Source organism: Homo sapiens, chromosome 3 (assembly GCF_000001405.40).
Source record: "Homo sapiens chromosome 3, GRCh38.p14 Primary Assembly".
NCBI classification, from domain to species: Eukaryota; Metazoa; Chordata; class Mammalia; order Primates; family Hominidae; genus Homo; species Homo sapiens.
Window position 1 is genome coordinate 39,355,560 of NC_000003.12, and position 12,979 is coordinate 39,368,538.

The window sequence follows — 12,979 nt, forward strand, 5'->3', positions numbered from 1 at the left end:
TGCTGGGCAGATATACTCAAAGACGTATTTTTTTGTGTAAAGATGTGATGGCTTTGGTGCAAGTTTGTTGTTTCTGCAGAATCTTTTGTGATAGTTCTTTTTATCAGACATTTATGCATGAGAGCCCTCCCTTCATAGACTTCCCTGGCTCTATTTGTCAGGGTTTTCATTTTTTTCTAACACAAGTGACTGCATTTTGATTCTGACAACTTTCACATTTCCCTCTTTTGATCAAGATCTTTCTTCAAAACCATCATTGATCAATCATCCTGTAGTTAGGTTTTGATTGCCCCTTGATCCTGGAATGGACCTGTCTTGGTTTGGACTGGTCTAGTGCAGTGAGCAAAGATTGCACCACTGCACTCCAGCCTGGGTGACAGAGTGAGACTCTGTCTCAAAAAAGTAAAATAAATTTAAAAAATAGCAAACAAAATTCAACAATACCCTAAAAAGATCATTCACCAGGATCAAGTGGTATTTATTCCAGGGATGCCAGAATGTTTCAATGTATGTAAATAAATAAATGTGATACACCAAATTTACAGAACGAAGAACAAAAACCATATGATCATTTCAATAGATGCTGAAAAAGCATTTGCTAGAATTCAACATCCCTTTATGATAAAAATCCTCAACAAACTGGGTATAGAAGGAACACACCTGAAAGTAAAGAAGACCATTTATGACAAGCCCACAGCCAACATTGAACTGAACATGAAAAAATTGAAAGCCTTTCCTTTAAAATCTGCAAAAGGACAAGGATGCCCACTTTCACCACTTTTATTCAACATAATACTTGAAGTCCTGGCCAGAGCAATCAGGAAAGAGAGAGAAATAAAAGGCATCCAAATTGGAAAGGAAGATGTCAAATTAGCCTTGTACTCAGACGGCATGATCTTATATTTAGAAAAACATAAAGACCCCAAAACTTGTTAGAACTAATACATGCATTCAGTAAAGTTGCAAGATACAAAATCATAATATGCATATGAGGTGGGGTCCTGAAGTCCCCTACAATTACTGTATTGCAGCCTATCTCTCCCTTTAGATCTATTAATATTTGCTTTATATACATAGGTGCTCCAGTTTTGGTTGCATAGATATTTATAATTGTTTTATTCTCTTGCTGAATTTACCTCACTATCATTATAGCATTTATATATGGCAACGGCAAACAATCTGAAAAAAAATCAAGAAAGCAATCCCATTTATAATAGCTATAAAGAATAAAATATACTTATAAATCAGTTTAACCAAAAAAGTGAAAGAAAATTTTTTGCTCAGGATTGCTTTGGTGATTTGGCATCTTTTGTGGTTCCATACAAATTTTAGCATTGTTTTTTCTATTTCTGTGAAGAATATCACTGGTAATTTGATAGGGATAGCATTGAATGTGTGAATTTTCTTCTATATAAAATAATTATAAAATGCTGATGAAAGAAATTGAAGACAGAAAAAATGAAATGATATTCCATGCTCATGAATTGGAGGAAGAATTATTGTTGTTAAAATGACAATACTACCCCAAATGATTTACAGATTCAATGCTACCCATATCAAAATACCAGTGATTTTCTTCACAGAAATAGAAAAAACAATGCTAAAATTTGTGTGGAACTACAGAAGATGCCAAATAGCCAAAGCAATCCTGAGCAAACAGAACAAAGCTGGAGGCATCACACTATCTGACTTTAAAATGCACTACAACACTATATCAGCAAGGTACTGGCATAAAAACAGATGCATAGGCCAATGGAAAAGAATGGACAACCCAGATATAAATCCACACACTTACAGCCAACTCATTTTTGACAAAGGCACCAAGAACATACAATGGGAAAATGACAGTCTCTTCAATAGATGGTGCTGGGAAAACTGAATGTGCAGAAGAATGAAACTAGATACCTGTCTCTCACCATACACTGAAATCAACTCCAGATGGATTAAAGACTTAAATGTAAGGCCTGAAATTATAAACCCATTAGAGAGAAACATAAGAGAAACACTTGAGGACATTTGTGTAGGCAGAGATTTTATAGCTAAGACCTCAAAAGCACCACCAACAAAAACAAAAACAGATAAATGGAACTATATTAAACTAAAAAGTTTCTGCACAGCAAAGGAAACAATCAATAAACTGAAGGGACAACCCACAGAATGGGAGAAAATATATGTGAACTATGCCTCAGACAAGGAATTAATAACCAGAATATATAACGAGCTCAAACAACTTAATAGGAAAAAAGCAAATAATTACATTTTAAAATGGGCGATACTCCTAGCACTTTGGGATTCTGAAGCAGAGGGATCATGTGTTCCCAGGATTTCAAGGTTATGGTGAACTATGATCATGCCACTGCTCTCAAGCCTGGGCAACAGAATGAGACCCCATCTCTCAAAAAAAGGGGAGGAAGGCAAAAGATCTGAATGGACATTTCTCAAAAGAAGACATACAAATGGCCAAGAGGTATATTTTAAAAATGCCGAGCATCACTAATCATGAGAGATATGCAAATCAAAACTACAATGAGGCTGGTTCCAGTGGCTCACACCTGTAATCCCAGCAGTTTAGGAGGCTGAGGCAGGCAGATCACTTGAGATTATGAGTTCAAGACCAGCCTGGCCAACATGGCGAAAGCCGGTCTCTACTAAAAATACAAAAATTACCCAGGCATGGTGGCATGCACCTGTAATCCCAGCTACTAGGGAGGCTGAGGCTGGAGAATCACTTGAATCCAGGAGGCAGAAGTTGCAGTGAGTTGAGATCACACCACTGTTCTCCAGCCTCAGCAGTAGAGCAAGACTCTGCCTCAAAAAAAAAAAAAAAAAAAAAACAAACAAAAAAAAAAAACAAAAAACCTACAGTGAGATACCATCTCACCACAGTTAAAACGGCTTTCTTTTTTATCAAAAAGAAAGGAGCTTTTTCACACTGGTTTTGCCACCAGAACACAGGTGTTGTGAAAACTACCCCTAAAAGCAACAATGGGAATGGAAAAGACTCATATCAACATTGTTGTCATTGGACATGTAGATTTGGGCAAGTCCACCACTACTGGTCATCTGATCTACAAATGCGGTGGCATCGACAAAAGAACCACTGAAAAATTTGAGATGGAGGCTGTTGAGATGGAAAAGGCTCCTTCAAGTATGCCTGGGTCTTGGATAAGCTGAAAGCTGAGCGTGAACATGGTATCACCATTGATATCTCCTTGTGGAAATTTGATACCAGCAAATACTACGTGACTATCATTGATGCCCCAGGACACAGAGACTTCATCAAAAACATGATTACAGGGATGTCTCAGGCTGATTGTGCTGTCCTGATTGTTGCTGCTGGTGTTGCTGAATTTGAAGCTGGTATCTCCAAGAATGGGCAGACCCAAGAGCATGCCCTCCTGTCTTACACACTGGGTGTGAAACAACTAATTGTTGGTGTTAACAAAATGGATTCCACTGAGCCACTCTACAGCCAGAAGAGATATGAGGAGATCATTAAGGAAGTCAGCACTTACATTAAGAAAATTGGCTACAACCCTGACACAGTAGCATTTGTGCCAATTTCTGGTTGGAATGGTGACAACATGCTGGAGTCAAGTGATAACATGCCTTAGTTCAAGAGATGGAAAGTCACCCATAAGGATGGCAATGCCAGTGGAACCATGCTGCTTGAGGCTCTGGACTGCATCCTACCACCAACTCATCCAACTGACAAGCCTTTGTGCCTGCATCTCCAGGATGTCCACAAAATTGGTGGCATTTGTACTGTTTCTGTTGGCTGAGTGGATACTGGTGTTCTCAAACCTGGTATGGTGGTCACCTTTGCTCCAGCCAACATTACAATGAAATAAAATCTGTCAAAATGCACCATGAAGCTTTGAGTGAAGCTCTTCCTGGGGACAATGTGGGCTTCAATGTCAAGAATATGTCTGTCAAGGATGTTCATCGTGGCAATTGACAGCAAAAATGACCCACCAATGGAGTCAGCTAGCTTCACTGCTCATGTGATTATCCCGAACCATCCAGGCCAAATCAGCGCTGGCTATGCCGCTGTACTGTATTGCCACATGGTCCACATTGCATGCAAGATTGCTGAGCTGAAGGAAAAGATTGATTGCCGTTCTGGTAAAAAGCCAGAAGATTGCCCTAAATTCTTGAAGTCTGATGATGCTGCCATCATTGACATGGTTCCTGGCAAGCCCATGTGTGTTGAGAGCTTCTCATACTAAACACCTCTGGGTCGCTTTGCTGTTTGTGATATGAGACAGACAGTTGCCGTGGGTGTCATCAAAGCAGTGGACAAGAAGGCTGCTGGAGCTGGCAAGGTCACCAAGTTGCCCAGAAAGGTCAGAAGGCTAAATGAATATTATCCCTAATACCTGCCACCCGGTCTTAATCAGTGGTGGAAGAATGGTCTCAGAACTGTTTGTTTCAATTGGCCATTTAAGTTTAGTAGTAAAAGACTGGTTAATGATAACAATGCATCATAAAACCTTCAGATGGAAAGGAGAATGTTTTGTGGACCACTTTGGTTTTCTTTTTTGCATCTGGCAGTTTTAAGTTATTAGTTTTTAAAATCAGTACTTTTTAATGGAAACAACTTGACCAAAAATCTGTTACAGAATTTTGAGACCCATTAAAAAGGTTTAATGAGAAAAAAAAAAAAAAAAGAAAGGGAATAACAGATATTGGCATGGATGTGGAGAAAGAGGAACCCTCATACACTGTTGATGGGAAGATAAATTAGTACAGCCATTATGGAAAATAGTGTGGAGTTTCCTCAAAAAACTAAAAAATAGGCCAGGCATGGTGGCTCATGCCTGTAATCTCAGCACTTTGGGAGGCCGAGGCGGGTGGATCACCTGAGGTCAGGAGTTTGAGACCAGCCTGGCCAACATGGTAAAACCCTGTCTCTATAAAAAATACAAAAAATTAGTTGGGCATGGTGGCAGGTGCCTGTAATCCCAGCTACTCGGGAGGCTGAGGCATGAGAATCACTTGAACCCAGGAGGTGGAGGTTGAAGTGAGCCAAGATGGCACCATTGCACTCCAGCCTGGGTGACAGAGCAAGACTCTGTCTCAAAAAAAAAAAAAAAAACACAAAAAAACTAAAACTAAAAAATAGAACTACCATATGATCCAGCAATTTCACTATTGGGTATATAGCCAAAAGAAAGGAAATCAATACATCAAAGAGGGATCTGGATTCCCATGTTTATTGCAGCACCCTTCACAATAGCCAAAATATGGAATTGATCTAAGTACTCCTCAGTAGATGATTCAATAAAGAAAACAGGTGTGTGTGTGTGTGTGTGTGTGTATATATATATATAATATGTATATATATAAAATATGTATATATAATATGTATATATATATGCAATGAATCATTATTCAGCTATCTAAATAATGAAATCTTGTCATTTGCATCAACATGTTAAGTAAAATAAGCCAAGCACAGAAAGACAAATATCACATGTTCTCACTCATATGTGGGAGCTATAAAAGTGGATTTTATGGAGATAGAAAGTTGACTGGTGGTTACCAGAGGTAGGAAAGTATGGGTACAGGGGGAATGAAGACAGGTTAATTAATGGATACAAATATACAGTTAGATAGAAGTAAGACATGGTAGTCAATAGATCAGTAGGGTGACTATAGTTAACATTAATCAATTGAACATTTCAAAATAGCTGGAAAACAATAATATGAATGTTCCTAGTGTAAAGAAAAGATAAATATTTAAGATGATAGATATCCAAGGATTCCCGCAGGTAGTTAGAAAGAGACCACAGACATTGAGGGAAGCTCACTCAGTATCTGCTCCTCACCCTGTCTCTCTGGCAAAGTAGTAAGCGAGGTGCTGAGCAGAATGAGCTACTTTGTGGTTTCCACTGTGAGCAGCCCTGTCCCTCATTCAGTGACTTGTCCTGCAGTGGTGATGGCCGAATAGAAGCAGCTGTGGTCCGCAGCACTCACAGAGAGTAAGGAAAATCGCAAGTGGATTTAGCACCTTCAACTGAAATATCCAGGTTCTCACAATGGGACTGACTAGAAAATTAACCTGACTCAAGGAGAATGAAGAAAAGCAGGTTGGGGCAATGACCCACCCGGGAGTAGCACAAAGCCAAAGGAACCCCCACCCCCAGCCAAAGGAAGTGGTGAGTGATCATGCAACCCTGCCCAGGAAACCATGCTTCTCCCACAGATCTTTGCAGCCCACAGATCAGGAGATCCCCTCGTGAGCCCACACCTCTAGGGCCTTGGGTCCTATACACAGAGCTGTGTGGGGCCTTGGCAGAGCAGCCACTCAGGCACTCGCAGAGACCCAAGACTTTTACATACTCTAGCCCCAAAATCCCTGGTGAGGCAGCAGATCTGTTCATACATTCCCCTAGGAAGGGGGCTGAATCCAGGGAACCAAGAAGTGTCATTCTGCAGGCCCCACTTCCACAGCACCTCACAAGTTAAGACACACTGGCTTGGAATTCCAGCCAGCCAGGGGCAACAGGCTGAGCCCACCTGAGATAGGAAGGAGTTCCCAGGGGAGGGGTGGGCACTATTTTCATAGTGCGGTCAACTAGTATTCCAGCCTGCCAGCTCTGGAGAGTGTAGGTGGTCAGGACAAGAGGGAACCCCCTAATGCAGCACATTTGACTTGCCAGATTGTGCCCAGACTGCCTCTGTAAGCAGACCCCGATCAAGTCCTCCTCACTGGGTGGGGTCTTCCTGTGGGAAGCCTTCAGTTACTCCAGCCAGTATTATAAAGACCTGATCTCTCCCTGGGAGGGAACTTGGTGGGGGCAGGGTAGGCGGCAGGGATGGCTTCCATATCTGCACTTCAGTTGACTCAGCTATTCAAGCCTGCCAGCTCTGGAGAGTCTAGGCATCTGGACAAAGAGTAGCCTTGTCAACACAGCAAACCTGCTCTACCAAAAAGCAGCTGGACTGCTTCTGTAAGTGTTTCCTGAATTCTATTCCTCCTACCGGGTGAGACCTCCCAAGAGGGGTCTCCAGACACCTCCTACAAGAGTGTTCAGGCCAGGAAAAGGTCAGTAACCCCCGGGGACAGAGCTTCCAGAGGAAAGAGCAGGCTGGCATCTTTGCTGTTTCACAGACTTCACTGATGATACTTCCAGGTACAGGAAAAACTGAGGCAACTAGGGTCTGGAGTGGACCCCCAGAAAACCACAGCAGCCCTACGGTTGCTAAGTCAGTGCCCTGTTAAGAGAAAAACAAACAAATGGAAAACTATGACAACAATATCAACCAAAAAGACCCCACAAAAAGCCCATTCAAAGGTCAGCAACCTCAAAGATTGCAGGCAGATAAGCCTACAAAACTGACACTGAATCAACAAAACAATTCTGAAAACTCAAAAAGGTGGAGTGCCTCTTCTCCAAATGACTGCAATAACTCTCCAGCAAGGGGAATGAACTGGGCAGAGGCTGACATGGCTGAATTGACAGAAGTAGGCTTCAGAAGATGGATATTAATGAACCTTGCGAGCTAAAGGAGCATGTTGTAACCCAATGCAAACAAGTTAAGAATCATGATGAAACAATACAGGAGCTACTAACTAGAATAGCCAGTTTAGAGAGGAACATAACTGACCTCACGGAGCTGAAAAACACAACATGAGAACTTCACAATGCAATCACAAGTATCAATAGCAGAATAGACCAAGCAGAGAAAAGAATCTCAGAGGTTGAACACTATCTTTCAGAAATAAGACAGACAGATGAGAAGAAGAAAAAATAATAACAAAGGGTTAACAAACTCTCTGAGAAATATGGGATTATGTAAAAAGACTGAACTTAGCACTGATTGGGGTACCTGAAAGAGACAGGGAGAACAGAACCAAGTTGGAAAACATACTTCAGGATATCATCCAGGAAAACTTCCCCAACCTAGCAAGACAGGCCAACATTCAAATACAGGAAACCCAGAGAACTCCAGTAAGATACTCCATGAGAAGATCAACCCCAAGACACATAATCATCAAATTCTTCAAGGTCAAAATGAAGGAAAAAATGTTAAGGGCAGCTAGAGAGAAAGGTCATGTCACCTAAAAATGGAAGCCCATCAGAGTAACAGTGGGACTCTCCGTGGAAACCCTATATGCCAGAAGACATTGGAGGCCAATATTTAACATTCTTAAAGAAAAGAATTACCAACCCAGAATTTAATATCTGGCCATACTAAGCTTCATAAGCGAAGGAGAAATGAGATCCTTTTCAGAAAAGCAAATGCTGAGGGAATTTGTCACCACCAGGCCTGCCTTGCAAGAGCTCCTGAAGGAAGCATTAAATATGAAAAGGAAAAATTGTTACCAGCCACTACAAAAACACACTGAAGTACACAGACTAGTGACACTATGAAGCAACTACATAAACAAGTCTGTAAAATAACCAGCTGACATCATGATGACAGGATCAAATTCACACATAAAAATATTAACCTTAAATGTAAATGGGCTAAATAAATGTCCCAATTAAAAGACACCAAGTGGCAAGCTGGCTAAAGAGGAGACCCATTGGTATGCTGTCTTCAAGGGAACCATCTCACATGCAAAGACACACATAGGCTCAAAAGAAAGGGATGGAGGAAAATTTACCAAGCAAATGGAAAACAGAAAAAAGCAGGGGTTGCAATCTTAGTTTCTGACAAAACAGACATTAAACCAAAGATCAAAAAAGACAAAGAAGGGCATCACACAGTGGTAAAGGGTTTGATTCAACAAGAAGAGATAACTATCCTAAATATATATGCACCCAATGCAGGAGCATCCAGATTCAATTCACAAAGCAAGTTCGTAGAGTCCTACAAAGAGATCTGGACTCCCACACAATAATAATGGGAAATTTTAACACCTCACTGTCAATATTAGGCAGATCATTGAGATAGAAAATTAACAAAGATATTCAGGACCTGAACTCAGCTCTGGATCAAGTGGACCTGATAAAACAGAACTCTCCACCCCAAAACAACAGAATATACATTCTTCTCATTGCCACATGGCACTTATCTAAAATTTATCACATAATCAGAAGTAAAACATTCAGCAAATGCAAAATAACTGAAATCATAACAGTCTCTCAGACTACAGCGAAATCAAATTAGAATTCAAGATTAAGAAATTCACTCAAAACCACACAACTACATTGAACAACCTGCTCCTGAATGACTCCTGGGTAAACAATAAAATTAAGGCAGAAATCGAGAAGTTCTTTGAAACTAATGAGAACCAAGAGACAACGTACCAGAATCTCAAGAATGCAGCTAAAGCAGTTTATAGCACTAAATGCCCACATCAAAAAACTAGAAAGATCTCTAATTAACAATCCAACATCACAACTAAAAGAACTAGAGAACCAAGAGCAAACAGATCCTAAAGCTAGCAGAAGACAAGAAATAATCAAGATCAGAGTTGAACTGAAGGAGATAGAGACATAAAAAACTCTTCAAAAAAAATCAGTGAATCCAGGAGGTGGTTTTTTGAAAAAATTAATCAAATAGATAGACTGTTACCTAGACTAATAAAGAAGAAAAGAGAAAATAATCAAATAAACACAATCAGAAATGATAAGGGGGATATTACCACTGACCCCACAGAAATATAAACAAACACTGGAGAATACTATAAACACCTCTATGCACATAAACTAGAAAATCTAGAAGAAACTGATAAACACCCTGCCAAGACTGAACCAGGAAGAAATTGAATCCCTGAATAGACCAATAATGAGTTCTGAAATTGAGGCAATAATAAATAGTCTACCAACCAAAAAAAGCCCAGGACCAGATGGATTCACAGCTTAATTCTACCAGAGGTACAAAGAAGAGCTGGTACCATTTCTGCTGAAACTATTTTAAAAAATTAAAAAGGAGGGACTCCTTCCTAACTCATTTTATGAGGCTAGTGTCATCCTGATATCAAAACCTGGCAGAGATACCACAAAAAAAGAAACCTTCAGGCCAATATCCCTGATGAACATTGATGCAAAAATCCGCAATAAAATACTGGCAAATCAAATCCAGACATTTATATAGTCAACAAACATATGAAAAAAAAACAAACTCAACATCACTGATCATTAGAGAAATGCAAATCAAAACCACATTGAGATACCATCTTACAACAATCAGAATAGCAATTATTAAAAAGTCAAAAACAACAGATGTGCTCTTGAGGTTGTGGAGAAATGGAAACGCTTTTGCACTGTCCGTGGGAGTGTAAATTAGTTCAACCATTGTAGAAGACAGTGTGGCAACTCCTCAAAGATCTAGAGGCAGAAGGACCATTTGACCCAGAAATCTCATTACTGGGTCCATACCCAAAGGAATGTAAATCATTCTATTATAAAGATACATGCATGCATATGTTCACTCCAGCACTATTCCCAATGGCAAAGACATGGAATCAACCCAAATGCCCATCAATGATAGACTAAGGAAAATTTAGTACATACACACCATGGAATACTATCCAGCCATAAAAAGGAAAAAGATCATGTCTTTTGCAGGAACATGGATGGAGCTGGAAGCTGTTATCCTCAGCAAACTAACACAGGAACAGAAAACCAAACATCACATGTCCTCACTTATAAATGGGAGCTGAATGATGAGAAGACAAGGACACACGGAGGGAACAACACCTACTGGGGGCTGTTGGGGGTGGGAGGTGGGGGAGGGAGAAGATCAGGAAGAATAGCTAATGGATGCTGGGCTTAATACCTAGGTAACGAGATGATCTGTGCAGCAAACCACCATGGCACACGTTTACCTCTGTAACAAACCTCCACATCCTGCACGTGTACCCCTGAACTTAAAATAAAGTTGAAGGAAAAAAAAAAGATGATAGATATCCCATCAACCTTGATTCGATTCTGTGACTGTATCAAATTATCACACACACTCCAAAAACATGTACATCTATTATGTATCAATAAAAGAAATACTAAGTGGAAATGATGAGAGTAGGAGGAATATATGGAAAGGAAGAAAGGAACACTCACATTTTTAAACACCTACTGTGAGCTAGGCACCTAATCAGCATTTTCTCACTTATTCTTTTTTTTTAAATTTTATTATTATTATACTTTAAGTTTTAGGGTACATGTGCACAACGTGCAGGTTTGTTACATATGTATACATGTGCCATGTTGGTGTGCTGCACCCAGTAACTCGTCATTTAGCATTAGGTATATCTCCTAATGCTATCCCTCCCCGCTCCCCCCACCCCACAACAGTCCCCGGTGTGAGATGTTCCCCTTCCTGTGTCCATGTGTTCTCACTGTTCAGTTCCCACCTATGAGTGAGAACATGCGGTGTTTGGTTTTTTGTCCTTGTGATAGTTTGCTGAGAATGATGGTTTCCAGTTTCATCCGTGTCCCTACAAAGGACATGAACTCATCATTTTTTATGGCTGCATAGTATTCCATGGTGTATATGTGCCACATCTTCTTAATCCAGTCTATCATTGTTGGACATTTAGGTTGGTTCCAAGTCTTTGCTATTGTGAATAGTGCCACTATAAACATACGTGTGCATGTGTCTTTATAGCAGCATGATTTATAATCCTTTGGGTATATACCCGGTAATGGAATGGCTGGGTCAAATGGTATTTCTAGTTCTAGATCCCTGAGTAATCGCCACACTGACTTCCACAATGGTTGAACTAGTTTACAGTCCCACCAACAGTGTAAAAGTGTTCCTATTTCTCCACATCCTCTCCAGCACCTGTTGTTTCCTGATTTTTTAGTGATTGCCATTCTAACTGGTGTGAGATGATATCTCATTGTGGTTTTGATTTGCATTTCTCTGATGGCCAGTGATCATGAGCATTTTTTCATGTGTCTGTTGGCTGCATAAATGTCTTTTGAGAAGTGTCTGTTCATATCCTTCGCCCACTTGTTGATGGGGTTGTTGTTTTTTCTTGTAAATTTGTTTGAGTTTTTGTAGATTCTGGATATTAGCCCTTTGTCAGATGAGTAGATTGTGAAAATTTTCTCCCATTCTGTAGGTTGCCTGTTCACTCTGATGGTAGTTTCTTTTGGTGTGCAGAAGCTCTTTAGTTTAATTAGATCCCATTTGTCAATTTTGGCTTTTGTTGCCATTGCATTTGGTGTTTTAGACATGAAGTCCTTGCCCATGCCTATGTCCTGAATGGTATTGCCTAGGTTTTCTTCTAGGGTTTTTATGGTTTTAGGTCTAACATTTAAGTCTTTAATCCATCTTGAATTAATTTTTGTATAAGGTGTAAGGAAGGGATCCAGTTTCAGCTTTCTACATATGGCTAGCCAGTTTTCCCAGCACCATTTATTAAATAGGGTATCCTTTCCCCATTGCTTGTTTTTCTCAGGTTTGTCAAAGATCAGATAGTTATAGATATGCAGCATTATTTCTGAGGGCTCTGTTCTGTTCCATTGGTCTATATCTCTGTTTTGGTACCAGTACCATGCTGTTTTCATTACTGTAGCCTTATGGTATAGTTTGAAGTCAGGTAGTGTGATGCCTCCAGCTTTGTTCTTTTGGCTTAGGATTGACTTGGTGATGCGGGCTCTTTTTTGGTTCCATATGAACTTTAAAGTAGTTTTTTCCAATTCTGTGAAGAAAGTCATTGGTAGCTTGATGGGGATGGCACTGAATCTATAAATTACCCTGGGCAGTATGGCTATTTTCATGATATTGATTCTTCCTACCCATGAGCATGGAATGTTCTTCCATTTGTTTGTATCCTCTTTTATTTCACTGAGCAGTGGTTTGCAGTTCTCCTTGAAGAGGTCCTTCACATTCCTTGTAAGTTGGATTCCTAGGTATTTTATTCTCTTTGAAGCAATTGTGAATGGGAGTTCACTCATGATTTGGCTCTCTGTTTGTCTGTTATTGGTGTATAAGAATGCTTGTGATTTTTGTGCATTCATTTTGTATCCTGAGACTTCGCTGAAGTTGCTTATTAGCTTGAGGAGATTTTGGG

At 40.0% G+C, this 12,979-nt stretch overlaps 1 pseudogene, besides 1 other annotated feature; it reads left to right on the plus strand.

Annotated features, from left to right (window-relative positions):
- On the plus strand, positions 2,923–4,560 carry EEF1A1P24 (eukaryotic translation elongation factor 1 alpha 1 pseudogene 24; annotated as a pseudogene).
- Positions 5,936–6,165: an enhancer, noted in NCBI's record as "active region_19703". NCBI's record gives its function as "activates an Ori minimal core promoter by ATAC-STARR-seq in GM12878 lymphoblastoid cells {active_cell/tissue: GM12878}" and the evidence as "EXISTENCE:reporter gene assay evidence [ECO:0000049][PMID:35858748]".